This window comes from Homo sapiens, chromosome 13, assembly GCF_000001405.40.
Source record: "Homo sapiens chromosome 13, GRCh38.p14 Primary Assembly".
Classification (NCBI taxonomy): domain Eukaryota; kingdom Metazoa; phylum Chordata; class Mammalia; order Primates; family Hominidae; genus Homo; species Homo sapiens.
The window spans coordinates 72,321,753-72,349,306 of record NC_000013.11 but is presented as its reverse complement, the minus strand read 5'-3'; positions in this window follow the sequence as shown (position 1 = coordinate 72,349,306).

Below are 27,554 nucleotides of genomic sequence, written 5' to 3'. Positions count from 1 at the left end.
GATTGAAAATATAAAAAACCTGAATAATTAATTTACATATAGAAGTATGTTTATAAAAAAATGAATAATACACATTCATTCAAACATGATGACAGTCACAAAAACTCTCCACAAATACTACATCACAAGGCAATATAAATTTTGCAGTTCTGAATTAAAAAATTCACATTCTGTGTGTGACAAATAATGAAAGTCTATATTAATAATAAAGTGATAACACTCCCCCATCCAATCACTTGAGAATTTAAATGCAACCTTCCAAAAAATTTTGAGGTGAATAAGAAATCAAAATATGTATTCCAAAAATGAATAGCGTTTATTTAAACTGAAAAATAGTATTCAAGGGAAAATCTGTAATCTTAGAATGCATTCCTTAGATTAAAATAGACTGATAATATGTATTCCTTAGATTAAAATAGACTGATAATATGTGACTAGACTTTCAGTTCAATAAGTTAAAAAATAAAAGTAGAAGGAAACATATAATATAGGTAAAACCAGAATTTTGTGAGATTAAAAAATAAACACAAACTTGAAGAAGAAAACCAAAAAGTATTTCTTCAAAAAGACAAATAAATTAGACCAACATTAGCAAAACTTTCTGGAAAAAAAGTTGAAAAACAATGATAAGAATATTATTAAAAATGAGAAAAAGACATAATCATACTCCTTACAACTACATTCCAATAAATTTGAAAATGGATATGAAATGAAAGATTTCCTAGTATATTGATGAGGAAGAGTATTAAAACCTTATATAGGCCAATAATCATAAGGGAAATTGAAAAAGAAGTGACCTTTAACAAAGTTACAATGCCTAGATAATCCTATAGACAAGTTGTGCCAAGTCTTCTTCCAATATTTCAACTTTTCAAAAGTAGAGAAGAATTGGCAGCTTTCCAGAACCAATGCATAGCCCTGATATCAAAGCCAGACATAATTTTAGAAGGAAAATGGAAATCTAATAGCAACCTAAAGTGTAAAGATTAATGTAAAATTTCTAAACAAAATATTAACAAATGGAAGCTACCCACATGTTAAAAGACTAATACGTTATCAACAGTAGAGATTATTTTTGCAATTCATATGTTTAATATGTTTCAATGTTAACATATTTACTAATACAGATAATTACACTAACCTTTGAAGGGATAAGAAAAATAGGAGCATCCTGATAGTTACCAAAACAATTTATTAGTCAATTTAATTAAATCAATATGAAAAAAGAAAAACAATTTTTCCAGAAATAAAAGGAAATTTCCTAACCTGATATGGGCTTGTTTGATACACAGAGCAAATATCTTAATAGTGAAATAATAAAAATATTCCCATAAACACGACAAGGATACCACTGCTATTTAATACTGCACTATTTAATATTGTAGTCATCCTAACTGGTGCAAGGAAATAAAGTAATATGTAATAGGAAAAAATTGTCACTGTTGGCAAATATTAAAACTGGCTATGCAGAAAATCCAGAGATCAACTAGAAAACTATGAGAACTAATAACTATCATTTAATAAGGTGGCCAGATTTTAAAAAAATTAGTAACTTATATGCCATTAAGAATCAACAAGATCAAGTGGGGGAAATCAGTTTGCATAAGAAAATAAGCCAATCAGTAAATAATTTAGAAGCAAATCTAATAGTCATGTGAGAATTTTCTATAGAGATAACTTTAATGAAATTAATGTAAGAAATCCTTAATAGCAAGAAATATAATGGGGATTACTTAATATAGTAATGATGTGTTTTCTCCTAAGTAAATGAACAAATTAAATGCTTTTTCAGTCCCAATCCCAACATAATTCTTGTGGCATTTGACAATCTGATTTTAAAATTTGCTTAGGAGAGAAAAGGCACAAGATAACTGATTATTTTTGGAAAGAGAAATGCAAAGTAACTTACTTTTAACCTAGGTATTATTTATACAGAGTGAAACTGAGAGGTCCTAAATATACTGTTTGACCAGTTTTGATAAAAGGATACACCCACATAGCTTCCAGCCCAGTCAAGACTAGATCACTTTCAACATCCCAGAATGTTTCCTCAGGTGGTTGTCTAGGCATCCCTTAACTCCAAAGAAGACAGTATCTGTGATAACATTTATCATCACAGCTTGAGTTTTCCTGTTCTAGAACCTCATAAAAAATGTACTCATGCAGTATCTGCTTTTTTGTGTGTCTGGCTTTATTCACTCAATATAACGTTTTTGAGATTCACGATTGTGATGCGTATATCAGGAGTTTGTTCCTGTTTATTGGCAAGTAATATTCCATTGCATGAAACTACCACAATGTGTTTGTCTCTTCTTCAGTTGAAGGACATTTAGGTTGTTCTGACTTTTGGCTGTTTCTCCGGAAACGTTCTAATCTGTTCCTTTGATCTTTTGTTACCCTTGCTGAATAGGCTGGGTGTGCTGAAAGCTCTGAGGGACTTTGCTTTCTCTTGCAAAACAAACTTGCTTCAAGTATAAAATGAAGGCAATGATAATTTAACAAACATGAACAACTAAGCAACTGTATCATATTTCTTTTATGTATGTGTTATTTTCCTTTATTAGCCAAACACTTATGATGAAAATGATGACACAGAAGGAAGGGGAAAGATAGGGCAACTCATAATTCCTTTTCCTTTCAAGTGTTTTCTTATGCACTAATAAACTGAAGTTAGAGCATCTTAAAAGAATGTACATTTATTCCAAAGTAAAATTTAAAAAGTTGATTAGTTTTATACAGCTTCTTTTCTGGCAAGAACTAGGTACATATGCATGTATAAACTATAAAATATAAATTGTATAATATTGCTGATTCTACTATAAATTCTTACATTTGCATTTAAAACTGGCATTGAATAATGAAAGGAAGAATAATAAAATTCATACTAATGTAAATATTTTTCTGAAAATGACATTAAATAGCAAATAAAAAGCATCATTATAAACTGAAAGACTGTGGAAGAAAGGAAAAAACTTCAGGCTTTAGTACCTTTAATGACATGTTTTTCTTGCTTTCTGAAAAAGGCCCCCACAGAGTATATACCAATCTTGCCTAAAATACGAACCATACGGTATGGGAAAAAGAAAATAAGAATATCACCTTCTTCAATATAGACTACCTCAGATATTTTTGGGCATCCCCTGAGGGTTTTCTGTAAGTAGAAAAGAAAAACCTGCTCCTGTTCCTTAGTTTGTTTTTCTCTCTGTGTGTGTGCATTGATCACTGCCACTGCCCTCTGCCAGTGCCAATGCTGCTTGGCTCCTGTACCCACTGGGCATCTCCATGCTTCACCAGGGACCACCAGGAGAGCTTCCAGTGAGTCATTGTTAGTCCCCAAACCATTTGTGCAACAGAATTTCACTGACGCCAACTTGAAAAAAATGTATTTTGATTAAAATTCAGCAAGCTGCTAGGACAAGAATTTGTTTCAAACCACGATTTGGTTGAAAATGACAAATCTATAGTTTTTGTAATTTCTAATTCATTTTCAGTGAAGAAACCATGAGAGTAGATGAACTGAAAATGAATTAGAAACAGCAATGCAAAAAATAGAGAAGATATTCCTCTAATCCTGGGAAGAAAAAAAAAAGAAAATGATGAAGATGGATAAAGTATGGCAAAACCACTCTATTGTGCATTAACATCTCCTAATTAATTTCACCCTCCCTCCCACAAACAAACACCACATGCTGTGACTGTGGAACACTTGTTTTATCCTCAGTTCCATGACTTTGTTGCATATTGTTCTGTCTGGTCCCTGTGGTCTGCAGTAGAATTGGTGGGCAAACAGCCTCTTCTCTCCTGGTGGTGACTGCTGCCTCATGGGGACGGAAGTATCTCTGTGTGCACAGGAACACCACGACTTTATTGACTGTTTCCTTCAGTGTCTGCCGCTAACTCTTCTCCATTAGGGGAAAACCAGTGCTGCAAACAGCAGATTCAGAGATTCACATGGCATGCCAAGCACCAGTGTTCCTCCTCTCTGCTCCCCTATTCAATACACAGCCATATAAGCACATACCAAAGAAATAATCTTCCACTCTCAGGCCAAAAGGAAGCCAATCTCCATGCTTATCAGGATACAATGAATAAAGATGCATGCTACAAGAATCTCTCCACAGAGTCCACCAGTTCCACAAATAGCAAGCTCAGAAACTGGTTTGGTCTCATATAGCAGTAAGAGTGACCTATGAATAATGCTAACCTCCTACAAAAATCTTTATGGGACACTTAAATATAAGACAGTGACCTTATTAATCTTCCTTGTATTTTTCCTGCAACTAACCTGCTTTATATATTATGCCTGTCTTAGTATGTTTGCTCTTCTATAGCCTCAGGGATTTGTCTTGACTGTGTTGTGCCATTGCTGAAGTGTGTTGTTAAATTAGGCCCAAGTCTATCTCCTCTCCTTGAATTCCTTTATTAATGAACTGCAACCTAACTTCATACATACACAAACTAAAACCTAACTTAGGATTATGATGAACAACTGAGTCTCAGCCAATCCCAAGAAACGGAGTTTCAGCCAGGTATGGGCAGCCAACTGATTAGACCATGTCCAAACAAGGTAAATGTCTAGCTGTATCCCAATCAAGCTATTCGTGCCCTTTAGTCTCCTGTTCTGTTTGTAAATAATCATTGCTCACTGTTACAGAGCAGAGCTCTCTGAGCCTCTTCTGGTTCTGAGTGCTGCCCAATTTGTGAATCATTCTTTGCTCAAATAAACTTTATTAAATTTAATTTTTCTAAAGTTTTTCTTTTAACAAAGTGTTAGGTGATCTTTTCTCAAAAAGCAGTCTATAGTGAGCCAAAATAACAGGAGTTGTAAGTTGGGAGGGCACAATGCTCCAGGAATTTTTTTTCTGATACTGCATATGTGATATGTTTATATGCTGAATCATATTTACCAAATGCCTCTTGTTGCTGTGGATTCAAAAGTGTATAATACATAGCTGGTTTATTTAACCAGCACTTAATTTATTGGGATAGCCAGATCTATGCACAGTTGCAAGACAGGGAGGTGAGTGCCCTTGCTGAGGTTCAAGCATATTGCTGTTGGAGCATAGAACTGGGAACATCTAGCTCTCTGCCTGATGTGGACAGTAGGAAAGAAGTTTCCACTGAATAAATAACATGTCAGGAAAGTCTCAAAAAGTGAGCAGAGACAGGATTTTCAGAAGGCATTTCAGGCACAAAGGCAGAACCTTTGCAAAGTTACAGAGCAGGAAAAAACAATGAGGCACATCCAAGAACTATGTTTTGAGTCACAGTATGGCTGGGGCATCAAATATGCCTTCAGGGTGACGGAAGGTACACTGGACCAAACCTCTATTCAATATGAAAGAGTTAGGACTTTATTCTGTAGAAAACTTGTGAAGATTTTGAACACAGGATATTCGTGACGAGGATAATGTTTTATAAAGATCATTCAGGCTAAGGGATAGGGTAGAATTGATTGAAGCAGAATGGGAGTCCAGGGAAAAAAAAACCTGTCATGAGGCCAGGGCAGGAGTCAGACTGAAAATGCTGAAGGAACAAAGCAAGCAGGGACAACAGGAATGGGGAGGAAGGAATATTTCTGAGAAAAACAAAGAGATGGAATTTACTGGGCATCAAAACTGACTTCATTCTGGGAGTGAGAGATGAAAGAGCCATCATTTAAAATTTTTAAAATATTTCTATTGATGCATAATGGATGTACATAGTTTTGGGGTACATGTGATAATTTAATACATTCGTATAGTTTGTAAAGATCAAATTGGTGTACTTGAGATATGCATCACCTTAAATATTTGTCTTTATGCAAGAAATTCAAATTATTCTCTTCTATTTTGAAATGTACAATAGAATATTGTAAACTACAGTCACCCTACTAATCTGCCTAACACTATGTATTATTTCTTGTATAAAATCATATATTTGTGGGTGAGTGGCTCATGCCTGTAATCCTAGCACTTCGGGAGGCTGAGGCAGGTAGATTGATGGAGGTTAGGAATTTGAGACAAACCTGGGCAATAGAGTGAGACCTCATCTCTAAAAGAAAAAATTAAAAATTAGCCAGGAGCCAAAATAGCGGATAGGAGACAGGACTAATGTGCAGTTCCTACTTCGACGAATGGAACAGCATGTGGAGACCCACATCGTGAACTTCTGCTCCAAGAATTACTGCAGGAACATATCAGGAAAACTGATAAAATTCACAGACCCTTTGAAAGAGGTGGCTTGCTGCTGCAAACTCTGTGAGACAGCTGAAAAACTGTGAGTTCCCAAAGTGTGAGAGGAAAAGTCGGCCTCCGAGTACACATTCCCACTGGGAACCTGAAAATCCAGATCATGAGAGAAAGATTTAACCTTACCTAGAGCTGAAATGGGTTTAGGGAGCTGAGCAAAATAGAAACATAGAAGCAGCGGGAAGTACCCTGCAAGCACGCCCAGTCCCCAGCTGAAGCCCAGGAAACCATCCCTGGCTTTATCTCATAGGGGTCCTTGAGGAAGGCAGCCAGTAGAATTGGGAAGGGGCCACAGGGTAAAGAAAGCTTCTAGCTGGACTTTTTAATAATTTCAACTGAGCATGAATTTTCCTGAGCAGAACCCAGAGAGATTAATGAAAAGTGCAGATAGGAGCACAGAAGCCACAGCCTGTGGTGCGGGGAGGTGGGAAGGGGCAAGGCCGGAAAGCCCTGCTTGCTCTGTCAGCAGGGAGGCTTGTAGTCTAAGGCAAGATCTCAGCCCTGAGTGCTGGCTGCCTGGATGTAAACTTGGTGCTGTTGGCGGGGCATGGTGGGGAGTGAGGCTGGCCTTGCTGGCGCCTGGGAGCTGAGTGAGATGTGTCACTGCCGGCTTTCTCCCACTTCCCTGGCAATATATATGACACAGCAGAGGCAGCCATAATCCCCCCTTGGAACATAATTCCACTGGCCTGCAAACCACTACCCCAAACCCCACAGTGGCTGCAGCAAGCCCCGTCAAAGGAGTCTGAGCTGAGACCTGCCTAACCCTGCCCCCACCTGACAATCTTTCTCTACCTTCCCTGGTAGCTAAATACAAAAGAAAAAAACTCTTGGGAGCTCTATGGCCCTGTCCATCATCTGAGAAACCTGAATACTTATCCTGGCCAACATAGGGCAAGCTTATATCCCCCTTCTACTACTGCAGCTGGTGCTATCTTGAAATCGCCACCTGCTGGCTGGAGGCCAATCAACTCAAGCCTTTACAGCAACTCGTAACAGAACAACAGTATTAGTCTGTTTTCGCACTGCTGATAAAGACATAGCTGAGACTGGGAAGAAAAAGAGGTTTAATGGACTTACAGTTCCACATGGCTGGGGAGCCCTCACTATCATGGCAGAAGGCAAGAAGGAGCGTCACATCTTACGTAAATGGTGGCAGGCAAAGAGAGAGCTTGTGCAGGGAAACTCCAGTTTTAAAACCACCGAATCTTGTGGGACTCATTTACTATACTGAGAACAGCACAGGAAAAAACCTGCCCCTGTGATTCAATCACCTCTTACCAGGTTCCTCCCACAACACGTGGGAATTATGGGAGTTACAATTCCAGATGAGATTTGGGTGGGGATGCAGCAAAACCATATTATTCCATCCCTTGTCCCTCCCAAATCTCACGTCCTCACATTTCAAAACCAATTATGCCTTTCCAACAGTCCCCCAAAGTCTTAACTCATTTCAGCATTAACTCAGATGTCCACAGTCCAACATCTCGTCTGAGACAAGGCAAGTCCCTTCTGCCTATGAGTCTGTAAAAATCAAAGAAAGTTACTTCCTAAATACAATGCGGGTACAGGCATTGGGTAAATACAGCCATTCCAAATGGGAGAAATTGTCCAAAACAAAGGGCCTATAGGCCCCATGCAAGTCTGAAATCCAGCAGAGCAGTCAAATCTTAAAGCTCCCAAATGATTCCCTTTGATTCCATGTCTCGCTTCCGGGTCATGCTGATGCAAGAGGTGGGTTCCCATGGTCTTGGGCGCTCTGCCTCTGTGGCTCTGCAGGACACGGCCTCCCTCCTGGCTGCTTTTATGGGCTGGTGTTGAGACTAAGGTGGGAGGATTGCTTGAGCCTGGGAAGTTGAGGCTGCAGTGAGCCTTGATAGCACTACTGCACTCCAGCTTGAGAAACAGAGCAAGACCCTATCTCCAAAAACAACAACAACAAAAAACGAAATAAATAAAACCATATATCTGTACCCATTAATCAATGTCTGTTCATACTCCCCTACTCTCTACCCCTCCCAGCCTCTGGTAACCACAGATCTACTCTGTATTTTCATGAGATCCACTGTTTTAGCTCCAACATATGAGTGAGAACATAGGATATTTGTCGTCTTTGCTTGGCTTATTTCACTTAATTCCAGGTTCATCCATGTTGCCACAAATGACACACAGTCATTCTTTTTATGGCTGAATAACATTTCATTGTGTATATAAACCAAATTTTCTTTATCCATTTATTATTGCACACTTGGGTTGATTCCATATTTTGGCTATTGTGAATAGTGCTTTAATAAACACGAGAGTGCAAATATCTTTTCAATATATTGATTTTCTTTCTTTTGGATATATATCCAGTAGTGGAATCGTTGGATCGTATGGTAGCTCTATTTTTAGTTCTTTAAGGAACCTTCATGCTGTTCTTCATAGTGGTTGTACTAATTTATACTCTCACCAATAGTGTATGAGGGTTCTCCTTTTTCCACATTCTTGCCAGCATCCGTTATTGCCTGTCTTTTGGAAAAAAGTCATTTTAACTGGGATGAGATTATGTCTCTCATTGTAGTTTTGTTTTTGTTTTTTGAGGAAAGTAAATGAATAAAGAATGACTACCTCGTAGGCAGAGCAGTCCTCTCATTGTAGTTTCGATTTGCATATCTGTGATGATTAGTGATGTTGAGCATCTGTTCATAAACCTGTTGGCTATTTGTATGTCTTCTGTTGAGAAACGTCTATTCATATCTTTTGTCCATTTTTAAATTAGATTTTTTGTTGTGGGTTTTTTTTTTTTTTGTAAATGAGTTGTTTGAGTTCCTTATATATTCTGGTTATTAGTCCCTTGTAAGATGGGTAGTATGCAAATATTTTCTCCCATTCTATAGGTTGTTTCTTCACTTTGTTGATTTTTTCATTTGCTGTTCAGGAACTTTTCAGCTGACATAATCCCATGTGTCTATTTTTGATTTGGTTGCTTGTGCTTTTAAGGTCTTATATTAAAAAAAAATCTTTCCCAGACCACTGTTCTGGAGCACTTCCCTAATGTTTTCTTCTAGTTTCAGAGTTTTGGGTCTTAGATTTAAGACATTAATCTATTTTTACTTTATTTTTGTATATATTGAGAGATATGGATCCAGTTTCATTCTGCTGACTTATAGTTATCCAGCACCATGGGAGCAACACTACTTATCAAAGATGCTGTCCTTTCCCCATTGTATGTTCTAGGTACCTTCATCAAAGATGATTTGGCTGTAAATGCATGGATTTATCCCTGGGTTCTTTATTGTGTTCCATTGGTCTATGTGTCTGTTTTTTATGCCAGACAATGCTGCTTTAAATACTACAGTTTTGGAATAAATTTTGAAATCCAGGTAGTGTGATGCCTCCAGCTTTGTTTTTTTTTTTTTCCCCACAGGATTGTTTTGGTTATTTGGGGTCTTTTATGGTTCCATACAAATTTTAGGATTGTTTCTTCTATTTCTGTGAAAAATATCATTGGTATTTTGATAGAGATTGCACTGAATCTGTAGATTGCTTTGGATAGTATGGACATTTTAGCAATATTGATTCTTTCAATTCATGAGCATGAAATGTTCTTTTCATTTTTCGTGTGTCCTGTTTAATTTCTTTCATTAGTGTTTTACCGTTTTCCTGGTAAAGATCTTTTACTTTCTGGGTTAAATATATTTGTAGGTATTTTATATTCTTTGTAGCTCTTGTAAATGGCATTGTTTTCTTGATTTTTCAGGTTGTCTGCTGTTGGTATAGGTAAGTGCTACTGATTTTTATATACTGATTTTGTATCTTGCAATTTTCCCAAATTTGTTGATCAGTTATAAGAGTTTTTGGTGGAGTCTTTGTGTTTTCTTTCTAAGTATAAGATCATGTTATCTGCAAGCAAGGCTAATTTGACCTTTTCCTTTCCAATTAAGATGACCTTTATTTTTTTCTCTTGTCTAATTCTTCTGTCCAGGACTTCCAGTGCTATGTTGAATAAAAGTGGTGAAAGTGGGGATTATATCTTGTTCCAGCTCTCAGAAAAAAAAGGCCTTCAATTTTTCCCCATTCAGTATGATATTAGTTGTGGGTTTGGCATATGCGGTCTTTATTATTGTGATGTATGTTCCTTCTATATCCGGTTTAATGAAGGTTTTTATCATAAACAGATGTTGAACTTTATCAAATGCTTTTTCAGCTTCTATTGAAGGAATCATATGGTTTCTCTAGTTGGTTCTGTTAATCTGATGTATCACATTTATTGATTCCCATTTGTTGGACCATCCTTGCATTCCAGAGATGAATCCCACTTGATCATGATGAATGCTCTTCTTAATGTGTTGTTGAATTTGGTTTGCTAGTATTTTGTTAAGAATTTTGCATTTATACTCATCAATAATATTGGCTTGTAGTTTTCTTTTCTTAGTTGTATCCTTCTCTGGTGTTGGTATCAGGGTAATGCTGTCCTCATAGAATGAATTTGAAAGTATTCCCTCCTCTTTATGTTTTGGAATAGTTTGAAAAGAATTGGTATTATTTCCTCTTTAAAAGTTTGATAGAATTCAGCAGTAAAACCATTAGGTTCTAGGCTTTTCTTTGATGGGAGACTTTTTATGGCTTCAGTTGCATTACTTGTTATTAATTTATTGATGTTTTCTGATTCTTTATGGTTCAATTTTGTAGGTGATATGTGTCCAGGAATTTATTCATTTCCTGCTTTTCCAATTTGTTGATGAATAGTTTGTAATAATATTCTCTGGGTATTCTTTATATTTCTATGGTCTCAGTTATTAGCTCTCCTTTTTCATCTCTGATTTTTATTTATTTGGGTATTCTCTCCTTTTTTCTTAGGGCAGCTATCAATTTGGCTCATCTTTTCAAAAAACCAACTTATTTCATTGATCTTTTAAGTCTCAGTTTTATTTATTTCTGCTTTAATCTGTATTATTTATTTCCTTATACTAATTTTGGGTTTGGTTTGTCCTTGCTTTTCTAGGCCTTGCAGTGCATTTTTAGGTTGTTTGTTTGAAGTCTTTCTAGTTTTGTAATACAAGAAGTGTTTCTGGGGACTGTTGTGGGGTAGGGAGAGGGGGGAGGGATAGCATTAGGAGATATACCTAATGCTAAATGACGAGTTAATGGGTGCAGCACACCAGCATGGCACATGTATACATATGTAACTAACCTGCACATTGTGCACATGTACCCTAAAACTTAAAGTATAATAATAATAAAAAAAGAAGTGTTTGTTTTACAAACTTCTTTCTTAGTACTGCTTTTGCTGTATCCCATAGATTTTTGTGTGTTGTGTATCCATTTTTTATTTCAGTAGGAAGAGCCATCCTTTGAAGACAGGTGAATAGGAAGTGGTGCTTTTCAGTGAGGAGCAAAGCTCAGTGAGAAACAGAATGGCCTCAGTTTTAGGCATGCTGAACATTTAATTGCAGGTTTTCACACATATAATTAATATCCAGCAAAATTCACCTTTTTTGGTATACAGTTCTATGGATTGTGAATCACCATCAAAACTGAGGTAGAGAATATATATCCATCACCCCAAAGTGTGTAGTGAGCATCTTTCCCCATTCCTAACCCCTGGAAACCACTAATCTGCTTTCTGTCTTTCTAGTTTTTCATGTTCTACAGTGTCATATAAGTGGAATCATACATTGCACAGTTTTAAAAATCTGGCTAATTTTACTTAATATAATGTTCTTGATATTCATATGGTTATTGTGTACATCCATGATTTGCTAACTTTTATTCATAAACTGAATTCTACTCTGTGGGCATAGCAAAATTTGTTTATCCATTCGTAAGTTTCATGGAGATTAATGTTGTTTCCCATTTTTGGAGATTATGAATAAATCCATAGAAAACATTTACATACAAGTGTTGTGTAAATACAAGTTTTTATTTCTCTAGAGTAAATACCTAGGAGTGGGATTCTTGAGTCATATCATAAGTATATATTTAACTTCATAAGAAACTGCCAAACTCCTTTCAACACTTTAGTATTGTCATTAGAAAAAATAAAACTAGCCATTCTAAAAAGTATGTACTGACATATCACTGTGGCTTTAATTTGATTTGACCTAATGATTAATGTCATATTTTCATGTGCTTCTTGGATATCTGTATAACTTTTTTTGTGAAGTGCCTGTCACATATTTTGCCCATTTATTTTTATTGAGTTGTTTGTTTTCTTGTTATTGAGTATATATTTATAAATATAGTTGGGATACAAGCCATTTCTCAGATATGTATTTTGCAAGTATTTTCTCCTGATCTGTGCCTGCTCTTTTCATTGGCTTAACCCTATCTTTTTTGTTTAATAACAGCTAAAGTTTTTAATTTTGATGAAGTTTAATTTTTGATGAATGTACCAATTTGTTTATTTTTACAGATGGAAATCTTGGTATTGTATCTAAGAAATCTTCATCTAACCAAGCCACAAGGGCTTTTCCTGTGTTTTCTTCTAGAGGTTTTATACTTTTAGGTTTTACATTCATGCCTATGATCCATTTTGAATTACCTTTTGTATGCAGTGTGAGATATGGATTGAGGCTTACTTTAAAATTTTTGCAAACAGATATCTAGTTGTTCAAGAACCATTTGTTGAAAAGACTATTTTTTCTCTGTTGAATTGTCTTTAGACCTTTGTCAGGAGTCAGTTGAATATGTCTGAGATGTTCTTGTCTGCTTCTCACTATATTAAAAGCTCCTGGAAGCTTAGAATCTTTCTTCACATTAATTTTTTTTCAGTTCCTATCATGATGCTTTGTAGATAAGAAATATTCCACACGTGTTGAAGGTAGCAAAAAACAGCTTTAAGAACATCAATAACTGGGTTTGCATCTTCCCGCTTCCATTCATTAGTGTGATTTTAGATCAATTACATATCTTCTCCACATTCAGGTTTTTACATTTTTGATTGTCATAATATTTAGCTCACAGAACGTTGGGAGGATTAAATGAATACAGGAAAATGATTTGGTATTTGGTACTATGATGCCTCATGTGTACTAGGTGTTCCATAAAGATAGTTATTTATGTAATTAAAATTAATTTAATAAAGATGAATAATAAAAAATGAATATTGAATTATGTGAACTCAGTTAATTTTGCATGTTTCCCAGAGACTGTTAGGACTTCCAGTCACCTATGAAGTAGCAGCTGCTTTCAATTATGTACTAATTTGAATAAACCAACATCTACTCAATGAGGTTGTAGGAGACAGAGGAAGAGGCCAAGTAGGCACCTAAACAATCTTTCTGTTCTGAACTGAAAATCTCAGTAGCTCTGCCAGTGGGCCAGGGAGCAGCTTATTTTTTTTTTTTAATGTTTCTGATTGCAGAGCAGAGCTTGTTTCTTCGGATGTGTCTGCTAAGATGTTGCTGTGTTGAAAGACTATGTGCATGGTGGAAAGCTTTGTCCATGTCACTACAAGGGTGTTCTGACCTGCCACTGCCACTCCCTTTGACATGCCACTGACATCTCTGCAGATTTCCTTCCCCCATCCTTTTCATTAACATAAAAATTGTGAAACTTGGTCGAAAAATTTCTGGGAGCTAAACATAAGGCTTTTGTTTGACGACAGAATGCATAACATATCTACTTTGACTATATGCATGTTGTTAGACATTCATTCATTTCCTGAGCCTGCACAGGTCAGCTGGGGTAGCACCAAGTCAGTGAGTGGCACCTGGGCATGACTGACATGCTGCCAGGCCAGATGATTTGGGGCATTGGTACCAGAATTTTCTCACTTTGTTATCCATTTTATGAGATTTTTCTTCTATATACCAAATCTCAGGAATTTCAAGCTCATACACAAAATTTATGGTGACCATATCAAGTCTGGACAGTTTTATTAGGATAGGAATCTAAATGGAGAGCTTTCCCTAAAAAAGTAGGTGGGCTGGTTGAGCCTAGCTTGTACTTTGGCTGAGTGTGTTGGGCACTAACAGGTTTATCTCTGGAGAGCACCCATGAACGAAGTGTCAATAGCAGCTCTGTGGCGATGCTGTGGATGCATGGCCATCTCTCAGTGGCAGAATAAATGGCACAACTGCATGTGGCTCTCTCATGGGTAGAGTTAGGCTTGGACCTTTTAAAATGCCTTTGACTCAATTTTTATTTTTCTGTCTCAAAGTTCATAAATCATACCCAAGAAAATTCCAAATTAGATGTGTGCACAGAAGAAAAATCTTTATTTTCTGAAGACACAGCAAATTCAGCCAAACCTTACTAGTGCCCTGGCAATTCAGTTAGGTTTAAATGAGTTTTATTAGATAGCTTGATCCTGACTGTAACATCCATTGGCTACCAAGCACTCACACACGATAAAGCACTGAAGATTCACATTTTCAGGGATTTCACCCACCCCTGACACCCAATCTAATTATTATTAATGAGTGCCTTTCTTTCTGTGATGTACTAGTGGGACCAGCTTCAAGGACATGCAACCTGCACAATTGCATAGGGTCCCACACTTGGAAGTGTCTCACGTTTGACTTCTGTCACTGTTGTAAAACTCCAAACTAGTTTTTAACAGAGGAGCAGAGAAGGCATTCTTTGGAAGGATATGAGTGGCTCAGAGGGTCAATGGCAGGCCTTGAGAAACAGTCAGAAAATGCTAGGAATTACTGAGACTGGGTATTTCAATCCTTAGCTCAGGTCTTGCCACTGGGAAAGCGGGTCGGGCAGTGCTGCTGTCCCCACTGCAGAGCACAGGGTGCCCAAGCCACTGTCCTAAGGGAGGAAGCCTAAACCCTGCCTGCTTATTTGTGTTACTTGCTCCCAATCCAGATTCCTGCTTGGGAACCTCTAGTTTCCTGAGCATAGGTCATTGTTTCCAGCCTGGCTTCCAGAATTGGAGGAATAAATAAATATGCTCTGCAATTTTCTGTGCTGAGAATGGACCCTGCCAAGTTGGGTGAGTAGGACTCGCACAATGGCACATTCCCCAAACAGTTCACATTCTGGATTGCTGAAATACAAGGAAGAAAATGTGGCACGTGCTCATCTCACCTGACTTCTAAGTTTTTGAGTTTCCTAAACATCTTCCTTTGTGTTCTTCTCTATATTCTCTTCTAGTTATTTTGTGGTGTTGCCTTTGAATATTCTACCTTATTTTTGCTTCTCACTTACATGCATTTCCAGGTGAACACTTTTATCTACATTGCTGATGACCTTAAGTGACTCTGAAATCAACTTACTTATCTTTCTGTCCCAGACTTAGGGAGAAACTATTTCTAGGTAATATGATTGAAATGAGAAATCACTCTTCTAATATCACAATTCAAATAATCCTAATTTATTTACATTATTGCCTAGAACCACAGTGAGAGATATCCACTGGCATGTTCCCCAAAACATAATGCTTTGGTATCTAATTCTACAGAAACAAAAGCTCTTTTTCCCAATTGTTAATCTAAGGAAGGGAGCTTAAATATCGAGGAGGCTAAACAAAGATATCTAATTTTGGTATTATGCCAGGGTGATTATTCAGGTGAAATGGAATCATTTTAACTATTCAGCTGGTTTTTTTGTTTGTTCTAGACGTACATGGTGCAGTATATTGCATCTTTTCCCTGAAATTATTATAGAATTTCCTTCAGTTCTTTTTGCATTGACCACAGGCTTATCGAGTCTTTGATAAAGTCCTTTTAATTTGCACATCATTAAGAAATCCATGCACTACCAGGTTCAAAGGAGAGCAAGTCAGGTTTGAATAAACTTTACATAAGTCAAGGAGTGCAGTCATCCTGCTTTAATTTCATCACTTTTCAGGATCATTTTAATTTTTACTGGAGCCCTGTCTTAGGGCTCTATCTTGCCACCTTTCTGAAAAGTACACAGAGAAAAAAGAGATAGATGAAGGTGGAAGGATGTAAAGAGGGATAAATTACATCCAAGTTAAGACATCTTCCCAGCTTTTCCCCTCACTTTCTCTCACCTTGTCTCTCTTGGCTCTTGAAACATGAGCTGAGAGCAGGAAATGGTGATGAGGTCTTAGTTTATCACATACTAATAAATGTTCCTTAACTCTATCTTTTACCGTACTTTTATTAAAGTTAATGTATTCTGTAAAGCATTTTTGCTGTTGTTGTTGTTTTTTTGTTTTTTATTTTTTGAGATGGAGTCTCGCTCTGTCACCCAGGCTGTAATGCAGTGGCACAGTCTTGGCTCACTGCAACCTCTGCCTCCCAGGTCCAAGCAATTCTCCTGTCTCAGCCTCCCAAGTAGCTAAGATTACAGGCGCCCGCCACCACGCCCGGCTAATTTTTTGTATTTTTAGTAGAGACAGAATTTCACTATGTTGGCCAGGCTGGTGTCAAACTCCCGACCTTGTGATCTGCTTGCCTCAGCCTCCCAAAGTGCTGGGATTATAGGCGTGAGCCACCGCATCTGGTCCTGTAAAGTGTTTTAATCAGATCATCTGATCACTTAAAATGTAATTTTGATATTTCCAAAATTAAAATCTTTTTACTGCTGTCTTCGATACAGTTTTCAGTAATTAGAGCAACCAATTTAAATGCCTCTTCTGTGGACAGGTTTTATTTTCATGGTGGTTATTTTAATCTATTCACAGGTGTTCATTTAAAACATCAATAAATACTTTATGCTTAATGCAATATTTTAGATATTAAATCATCATTTAAAGTCTTGCAGGGAGTCTCAAGAATATAAGAATAACTGAATAGAATATGGAGCAGCATATAGACTCTGACAATTATGTGTTGGAGAAACTAGAAGGGCATTCAGGAAAGAAAGACATAAGTACACATAATACAAAGGTTCACATTTTGATTTTTTATACACATTCCCTTCTCAGTTATATGTGCCTCTTTTTCAAGGCATAATTGAAAACAGAAAACTGCAGAGAGAAGAACTGAGAGTGAGATTAAGTATTTAACTACATTCCTGCTCTTTAAATGGTCTATGTATCTTAGAAATGCCTAATGTTAAAATTGTAGACTTCACTTTCATGAGACATCAGGATTCTCACTGGTGTAATGCTTACCATTTTGTTATTGCTTGTTCTGAAAGTCAGGCTGAATGAGGCTAGATAAAGAATGGAAGTGCCAAAATTAAACTTATATGTTTAATATATATAAATACACATAAATATGTAATTATATAGAAATATATATTTTTCTATTTTATATATAATTATCCACTTTATTCCTGTTTCCCTTTCCTGTGTTTTCAGAATAGAATTTACTGTTAGAAATTAAGCTACTAGAAATGCCAGACTCTCTGCATGTCTTAGTTCTTTTGAGTCCATTTAGTTTTCACTACACAGTGTCTTTCAACCATGAAGGACTATTGTGCTGTAGCAGTGTTAATTTTTCTTGTGATCATATTACGTTTCTGAAGATCTACTCTCTTTCCTTGGTTTTGTGAAGATTACAGCCACCTAAAACCATCAGAAACTTCCATACTCTACACATGTACATTCAACTGACAACTCTGTCCTATCAGTTCCACAGCTGTACTGTCTGGAATCTTTCTCCTCTAAAGCCATTGCTTTAGTATGAAGCCACATCACCTCCTGCCTAAATTATTGCTGTACAATCCTAACAGGTGCTCCTATCTGCAATTGGTTTTCTGTTGATATCGCTCCCATTTCTGGCAGAATGAGCTTTCTAATACTCAGGTAATCATTTTTATTTTGTAGGTTTTAACTACAATGGTACCCAACTGCCCTCAGAATAAAATCTAAAATCCTTAGCATGACTTACTTGTAAGTCTGACGACTTCTCCTTCCTTGTCTCATTGCTCTACCTTCCCTAAATTTATGCCCAGACTATTTAAGCTACTCTTTCTTGCTGGAAGATACTGCTTTTCTACTTCATCTACTCACCTGGCAAGACTCAGTTTATGTTCCACCTTCTCTATGGACACCTTAATTACTGTCCTCCCACAACTAAGTAGAATTTTCCAGTCCTTTCTCTATGACCAACTCCTTTATCCCCACTACTTTGTACAGATTTCTATCAGAGCATAGGTAACATCCAAATATGTTTTATTTCTTTACCTGTCCTGATCATTATACAGAAACACAGAAATTATTTTCATGAAGACTTTGTAAGTAAATTTTAAAAATTAAGATATGATTCAAATACCATAAAAGTCAGCATTTTAAAATATACAATTAGGTTGTTTTTAGTATTCACAAAGCTGAACACCAATCGCTACTATTTCCAGAACATTTCATCATTCCAAAAAGAAATCTCATCACTATTAGCAGGATATCTCCCCCAATCTCCTCTTGCCTCAGGCCCCAGAAAGCAATATACTTTTGGGCTGTATGGATTTGCTTATTCTGGACATTTCATATAAATCATACAATATGTAGCCTTTTGTGTCTGTCTTCCTTTACTGAACATAATGTTTTCCTGATTCCTCCATGTTGCAGCATGTATCCATACTTCCTGCTTTTGCGTGGCTGAATAATATTCAATTGCATGGATATACCACATTTTAAAAATCCATTTATCTGTTGACACACATTTGGGTTGCTTTCATGTTTGTCTATTATGAATAATGCTGCTATGAACATTTGTGTACATGTTTTTGTGTGGGCGTATATTTTCATTTCTCAGGTATATACTAAGGAGTGGAATTTTGTGGTCATAAGGTAACTTGATGCTTGATGATTTGGGGAACTAACACGCTGGTTTCTAAAGTGGCTGTGCCATTTTACATTCTCACCACTGATGAAGCATGAAGGCTCCCATTTTTCCACTGTATTTTGTCTAACTTTGTGATATAGTGATCCTAGCCAGTGTGAAGTGGTATCTCATGGATTGCATTCTCCTAATGACTAATGATTTCTGTGTACTTATTGCTCTTTTGTAAACTTCTTTGGAGAAAGAGGTATTAATATCCTTTGCCCATGTTAAAAATCAGGTTGTATGTTGTTGTTTTTTCTTTTCTTTTTTTTTTTTTTAAGTTGAGATGTTATAGTTTGAATGTGTTCCCTCCAAAATTCAGGTGTTGGTAATGTGATAGTATAAAGAGTTGGGGCCTTAAAGAGGTGATTAGGCCATGAGAGCTCCTCCCTTGTGAATGAAAATAGGTGCCCTTATAAAAGGGCTTTTTGGAGAAAGTTCATCCCTTTTTGCTCTTCCGCCTTCTGCCTTGTGAGGACACAGTGTTCATCCCCTCTGGAGGATGCAGCATTCAAGGCACCATTTTGGAAGCAGAGACCGGACCCTCAACAGACAACAAACCTACCAGTGCTTGAGCTTGGACTTTCGGCCTACAGAACTGTTAAAAAAAAATAAATTCCTGCTCCTAATAAAAAAGGTTGGTCCAAAAGTAATTGCAGTTTTTGCTATTACTTTTAATGTCAAAAACTGTGATGACTTTTGCACCAACCTAATAAATGATCTAGTTTGTGATATTTCAGTTTAGCAGCACAAATTGATTAAGACAAGATGTGAGAGCTCTTTGTACATTCTGGATACCCGTCCTTTTTCGGACATGTGATATGCAAACATTTTATTCATTTTGTGAGTTCTTTTTTCAATTTTTGCTAGTTTCCTTTGAAGAACAACGGTTTTAAATTTTTCTTATGTCCAGCTTATTATTATTTTTTGGTTGCTAGTGCTTTTGGTGTCATATCTAAGAAACCATTGCCAAATCCAAGTTCATTAAGATTTGTGCTTGTGATTTCTTCTGAGACTTTTATAGTTTTAACTCTTACATTAAGGTCTTTGATCCATTTTGAGTTAAATTTTGTATATGCTGTGAGATAAGAGTTCAGTTTTTTCTTTTACACGTGAATATCCAGTTATCTCAGCATTATTTGTTGGAAAGACTATTCTTTCTCTAGTGAATTGTTGTGGCACTTTTGTTGTAATTTATATATCACAAAACTATGAGTCTATATCTTAATTACCAGTTCAATTCTATTGATTAACATATCTATTCTATGCCAATACTACACTGTCTTAAATACTGTAGATTTGTTGCAAAATTTGAAATCAGGAAATGTGAGTCTTCCAACTTTATTTTTTTTTTTCAAGATTGCTTTTGCTGTTCTGGTTCTTTAAATTTCCAAATTCATTTTGAGAGCAAATTTTCAATTTATGCAAAATAGAAGTGAGGATTTTGATAGCAATTGAATTAAATAGGATAGATCAATTTATGGAGCCTTAACAACATTAAGTTTTCCAATTCATGAACAAATGATGTTTTAATTTACTTAGGTCTTTGATTTCTTTCACTGATGTTTTGTAGTTTCCAGTGTGTGTATCTTGTGCCTCCTTTGTTTAATTTGTTTGTATTTTATTCCTTCTGATGTCATTATAAGTGGAATCTTTGTCTTCATTTCATTTTTGAATTTTTTATTTCCAGTGCATAGAAATAGAATTGATTTTTGGCTATTAATCTTTTATCCTGTAACATTGCTGAACTCATTTATTAGTTCTAATAGTGTGTATGTGTGCTTCCTAGAATTATGAGGTAGTTTTACCTCTTTTGTTCCAACCGAGATGCCTTTTATTTTTTTTCTTGCCCAGTGGGCACAGCTAAAGCACACAGAACAATACTGAGTAGAAGTGGTGAAAGTGGGCATCTTTGTTTTGTTCTTGATCTTAGAGGGAAAGCTTTCACTTGTAAGTATGTTAGCTGTGGGTTTTTCCTTAATGTCCTTTTTCAGGTTGAGAATGTTCTCCTGTATTTGTAGTTTATTGACTATTCTTTATATAAAAGGGTATTAGATTTTGTTAAATGTATTTTCTGCATCTTTTGGAATGATTATGATTTTATCCTTTATTTATATCCTTTTTTATCCTTATTTCATTAATGTGGTATATTAGACAGATTGATTTTCATATGTTAATATGCCATAGTAATGCTCAAGTGTGATGCCTGTCTGATTTTCTTTGAAATCAGGGAAGGCAGCTTTCTTTATCTTTAATGCAACTTCACTTTTTGTTCTTTGTGCTATCTCTTCTGATGCAGCTAGGGGAAGAGTTTTAAGTTCATGTGCTAAGTAAGAAAATAATTTCTCTATTGATCAGACACAATGACAAATCCCATTCAAGTTACCAACCCCTGATCCCTCCAACTATAACGCCTTTACAGTTTTTCTCTTTTATTATGTAATTTCCAGTGTCCTGTAGGTATGTCCTGATTGCGATAAAGGGCCAGTCCTCCCCCACAAAATCTATATTATTTTAATAGAAGTTTCCAAATGAAGGTAAGTATTAGGTCAGAACTTGCTGTGTCATTTTCTAAAGCTTCTGCATTAATCCTGTAAATATTGACCTCATTGAAGGTCGAGTATGGATAGGGAGATCATATGCCCAGGCTTATCTGGGACAGTTCAGATTTATACCTGTTGTCCAGGTAAATTAATAATACTAGTCCTCCCTTTTATTCTAAAAATGGTTCTGGTTTGGATGATAAATTGTATGCCCTCTCCCCCAGTAGGGATCATCTCTGGTAGCCAGAAAATGTTTTTCATCTCTTCTGCCAGTTTTGATTTTTAGAGGACCCCTTTAGCTTCCACACTGGGCAGTTAAAATTGAACAAACCCTGAAATGTAACTACAAGAAATTTTGTTTTTTAAATTAGGTGTAGAGGAGGTGCTTGTAAATTGCAAGTGGAATTGAAGCCATGCTCCTGTGTTTTCAAACTAATTTAAAAATAATTCCCACATGGTGTTCCAAATATTGGAATAAATTAATGGCCAATTAATGATGTCTTTTATGGAAAACAATATTTTTCCTTCACAATGTGATCACTACATGAGCACTGTTTTCTTGGAAAGATTACCTGTTGGTATAAAGTTATTTGTAATATTGAAAAGAATATACAATAGGATAGTATTTGGCAGATCACATAGTCTACACTATCAGAAGGATCAACTTTTCCAGGAAATGTGGCCAGGAGGCCCTGTACAAAATCCCATGTAAATTAGTATAAGAAAACAACTTTTTTGATAATGAGGAAATATTTTGAAGAAATCAAAATTTCTTGGAGTGTTCTTGGTTCTATGACAAGTTTTTTCAATTCACAGATCTGTGCCTATTTTTAATAACACATGAATTGCCAAATGCTATTGTTCTTGGTATTGTATGTACTTGCTTTAATTTCGTTTATGGAATTTGTGGACATTAATTCATTCAATTGCCCCCAACTTAACTGATTATCTTGAGTAGAAGATCACTCTGAAATAATGTTACATGGTAGAGGGATATTTTAAAACAAATATATGGGAGATTAGCCATTGAAGTCTGTGAGGCTTCTCATAATTCAATTTTTTCCATCCCTGGAGAACTAGACGAGACTCCCAAAACAAGGTGTAGTTTAAGTAGTGTTATGTCTATACTTATTGTTTTCTCTTTTTAAATATGAGAGCTAGTCCTTGTTATGAACTAAACAAGTAGGCCATCAGGGATTACTGCCACAATATAGGTCACACAGGCTGATCCAACAGGGCCACGATGATGATCAATATGGCATCATTTTGACTAAGTGGGAAGGTTTTATCCCCAGCTTAATAGATAACAACAGGATTTCTAGAGGCATCTTTTTTTTTTCTGTAGAAGGCTGCCTTAGCTTTTGATATGGTTTGGCTGTGTCCCCACCCAAGTCTCATATGTAGTTCTCACAATTCCCATATGTCATGGGAGGGACCCAGTGGGAGGTAACTGAATCATGGGGCAGGTCTTTTCTGTGCTATTCTTGTGATGGTGAATAAATCTCATGAGGTCTGATGGTTTTATAAGGGGCAGTTCCCCTGGACATGCTCTCTTTGCCTGCTGCTATGTAATATGTGACTTTTCTCCTCTATTGCCTTCTGCCATGATTGTGAGGCCTCCCCAGCCATGTGGAACTGTGAGTCAATTAAACCTCTTTCCTTTATAAATTACTCATTCTTGGGTATGTCTTTATTAGCAGCATGAGAACAGACTAATACAGCTTCTTTTCAGTATTTGATGAAGTTTCATTAGTGCCTGGAGTCATGTAAATGACAAATATGGCCTGGAAAAGACAACTTTTAAAGAGTTGTTATTCATTAATTAATGTATAAGTCATGGTCTTGCAAAAAAATGACCCATCTGTAGGTTAAAAGACAGTGTTTGATAACAAATGGCTATTAAAGTTGAAGAAATATTTAATCTTTCGGCAGTCAACAGAATGCAAATTCAAATAATACAGGCCAGTTTCCTTTATTAATTTTGTGAAGGTTTTAAAAATCGATAATATATATTGCTGGCAAGAATGCAGAAAAAAATAGGTCGTTTGTGGTGTTCTACTGAGAAAATAAAAAGATACAAATTTTCTAGGTAAGCATTTGGCAAAAGTGAATATTCTTAAAAATGTTGATATCCTGGCCGGGCGCGGTGGCTCACGCCTGTAATCCCAGCACTTTGGGAGGCCGAGGCGGGCGGATCACGAGGTCAGGAGATCGAGACCATCCTGGCTAAAACGGTGAAACCCCGTCTCTACTAAAAATACAAAAAATTAGCCGGGCGTAGTGGCGGGCGCCTGTAGTCCCAGCTACTTGGGAGGCTGAGGCAGGAGAATGGCGTGAACCCGGGAGGCGGAGCTTGCAGTGAGCCGAGATCCCGCCACTGCACTCCAGCCTGGGCGACAGAGCGAGACTCCGTCTCAAAAAAAAAAAAAAAAAAAATGTTGATATCCTTTAGCTCTAGGAATATATCCTAAGGAAAATATTCCAATTATAAAAAAGTACTATAACAAAGTAATCATGGATGTACATAGCTGTTTTTGTATAAAAATGGCACTTAAAATATGATTTATAATTATAAAACATTAGAGGTAACTAAATATACAATTTAATTTTGTAATGTGGTCTAAATGGGATATAAAGCCACTCGATTTATATAGTGAAAGAATATTCAAAGGAGTGGAATGATATTTATGAACATTAATTACAAAAAGCAGGTTATAAAATAGCATGATGCTCTTTTGATAAATTAAGCCTGAAGGCATATATAACAATGTTTGTTATCAGTAGAATGGACAAGTAAATTATGGTACGGTCCACAATGGGATACTATAATACAATTAAAAATAAATAAATTATAGCTATACACAGCAATGTGAAAGAATATTACAAATATATAATATTAAATAAAGCAAGAAAGAAACACAAGAATAGATAGAGTGATTCCATTTATGAGGACTTGAAAAACAGGCAAAACTAAACTATAGCATTTAGGGATGATATATGGATGATAAAAGCAAAGGAAAGTCAGAAGTAAGGATGACGCATGTCAAGATAACAGTTACCTTGGAGAAAGAGGATGAAGGTTATGATTAGAAAGAGAAACAGAGGACTTCTGGGGTAAAAATGATGTATGATTTTTTGACCTGGGAGTGGTTATATGAGTGTTTGCATCTATTTATTAAACTATAAATATAAGTTTTATACACATTATATGACTTATATTTTATTATAGTGAAATTTAAAAATTGTTTTCAGAGGATATCTGTGGTTGTAGAATTACAGGTTGTCCTAGTTTCCTTCTTTTGCTTGTTTATATATTCTAAATTTTCTATAATGAAGAGGTGTCACTTTAAAATAAAAATCCCCAAGATTTTTACCATAGTATTAACTATGGAGTAAGGATTGTCCTGTGTGTACAATACGATACAGTGGCTAACATTTGGTGATTATAGTAATTTCTCGTCAGTATTAATTTTCTGATAAAGGCAATTCAGAAAACTTCTTATAAAACTTAAATAAAAGACAATATTCAGAAAGTTGGAGGAAACTTCATAATCAACCCTAGAAAAACAAACTAACCAGCACAATAGCTTAATTATACAGTGAATAGATGCGATTTCTATCTTAATGGTCGTATGCATTTTGTCTTTATTTTAAAATTTAAATGGTCCTTATTAACTAGTTTAGTTTTTGTAATTATGACCTTCAAATATGAGAGTAGGCATCTCAGTGAATATGTAGCATATTTACATTTAACCAAGAATTATCTAAAAAAAGTCACTTTGATGACATTGTAATTGCAACATGGCCATGATGCACACTATTTTTTGTTCCTTCAAGGCTTGTAGTGATTTAGTGTAAAAAAAAAGCTGACAATTCTTTTTGTTTTTCTTTTTTCTTATAAGTTCTGGGGTACATGTGCACAATGTGCAGGTTTGTTACATAGGTATACATGTGCCATGTTGGTTTGCTGCACCCATCAACTCCTCCTTTACATTAGGTATTTCTCTTAATGCTATCCCTCCAATAGCCCCCCACCCCCCGACAGGCCCCAGGGTGTGATGTTCCCCTCCCTGTGTCCATGTGTTCTTATTGTTCAACTCCCACTTACGAGTGAGAACATGCGGTGTTTGGTTTTCTGTCCTTGTGATAGTTTGCTGAGAATGATGGTTTCCAGCTTCAGTCATGTCCCTGCAAATGAAATGAACTCATCCTTTTTTATGGCTGCATAGTATTCCATGGTGTATATGTGGCATATTTTCTTTATTCAGTCTATTATTGACGGACATTTGGGTTTGTTCCAAGCCTTTGCTATTGTGAATAGTGCTGCAATAAACATACATGTGCATGTGTCTTTATAGTAGCATGATTTATAATCCTTTGAGTATATACCCAGTAATGGGATTGCTGAATACAATGGTACTTCTAGTTCTAGATCCTTGAGGAATCGCCACACTGTCTTCCACAATGGTTGAACTAATTTACACTCCCATCAACAGTGTAAAAGTGTTTCTATTTCTCCACATCCTCTCCAGCATCTGTTTCCTGACTTTTTAATGATTGCCATTCTAACCGTTGTGAGATGGTGTCTCATTGTGGTCTTGATTTGCATTTCTCTAATGGCCAGTGATGATGAGCATTTGTTCATATGTCTGTTGGCTGCATAAATGTCTTCATTTGAGAAGTGTCTGTTCATATCCTTTGCCCACTTTTTGATGGTTTTTTTTTTCTTGTAAATTTAAGTTCTTTGTAGATTCTGGATATTAGCCCTTTGCCAGATGGAGAGATTGCAAAAATTTTCTCCCATTCTGTAGGTTGCCTGTTTACTCTGATGATAGCTTCTTGTGCTGTGCAGAAGCTCTTTAGTTTAATTAGATCCCATTTGTCTATTTTGGCATTTTTTGTCTAGTTTTTGGTGCTTTAGTCACGAAGTCTTTGCCCATGCCTATGTTATGAGTGGTATTGCCTAGGTTTTCTTCTAGGGTTTTTATGGTTTTAGGTCTTACATTTAAGTCTTTAATCCATCTTGAGTTAATTTTTGTATAAGGTGTAAGGAAGGGATTCAATTTCAGCTTTCTACATATGGCTAGCCAGTTCTCCCAGCACCATTATTAAAGAGGGGATCCTTTCCCCATTGCTTGTTTTTGTCAGTTTTGTCAAAGATCAGATGGTTGTAGATGTGTCACCGGTGTTATTTCTGAGGTCTCTGTTCTGTTCCACTGAGGATTTGTACCTGTTGGAAGAGGGAGTGGGACAGTGAGATTGTCTATTTCCATGGGAGGCTGTGTTGAGCTGAGCTTCTCTCTCTCTCTCTCTCTCAATCTCTCTCCCTCCATCCCTCCCTCCCTCTCTTTCTCTCTCTCCTCCTCCCTCCTTCCCTCTTTCTTAGGAGCTGGGCACTAGGGAGGTTCCTGGCATAAGGTGTGCACTGAACAAAGGTCTGGGCATCAAGAGGAAATAAAATTTGGTCAATGTTCCACTAGTCTAAGCTTGGGCCCCTTTCAGCACCATGCTGTCTGGAAGACGGAGGGACTTTATCCTTCCTGTAAAGGCTCCATTTTTTTTTTTCTAATTTATTTTCCTAGAGGGGGCAACTTTTAAAATTTTATGCCAAGGTTTTTATAGGGTAACATGAACTGTGCCTATGACTCTATCTGGGTATCTAGCAGAGCAGTGTTATCTCAAATTGAGATGGCTCACTGAGCTTGAGTGAAAGTATGGTACTGAGAAATTTCATGATGCATCTGAGAGTCACAGGCATTTGTAGAACTAACATCTAGAGAGATGATGCAAGTCAGTGAGTTCAAGCCAGGACTCTTAAATCTCAACCAATACCATGTCTAATATATTTGTTTCTATTTGCTGTTGTAACAAATCATTACAAGCAGTGGCTTAAAACAGCACACATTTACTCTCTTATTTCAGAAAGTCAAAAGTCTGAAATCAGTTTCACTGGACTGAAACCAAGGTGTCTGTAGGGCTGTACTCCTTCTAGAGGCTGTAGGACAATCCATTTGCCTGTCTTTTGCAGCTTCTAGAGCTTCATTGCTTGCATTCCTTGGCTCCTGGCCCCTTCCATCATCTCCAATGCTAGCAGTGTAGCATCTTTC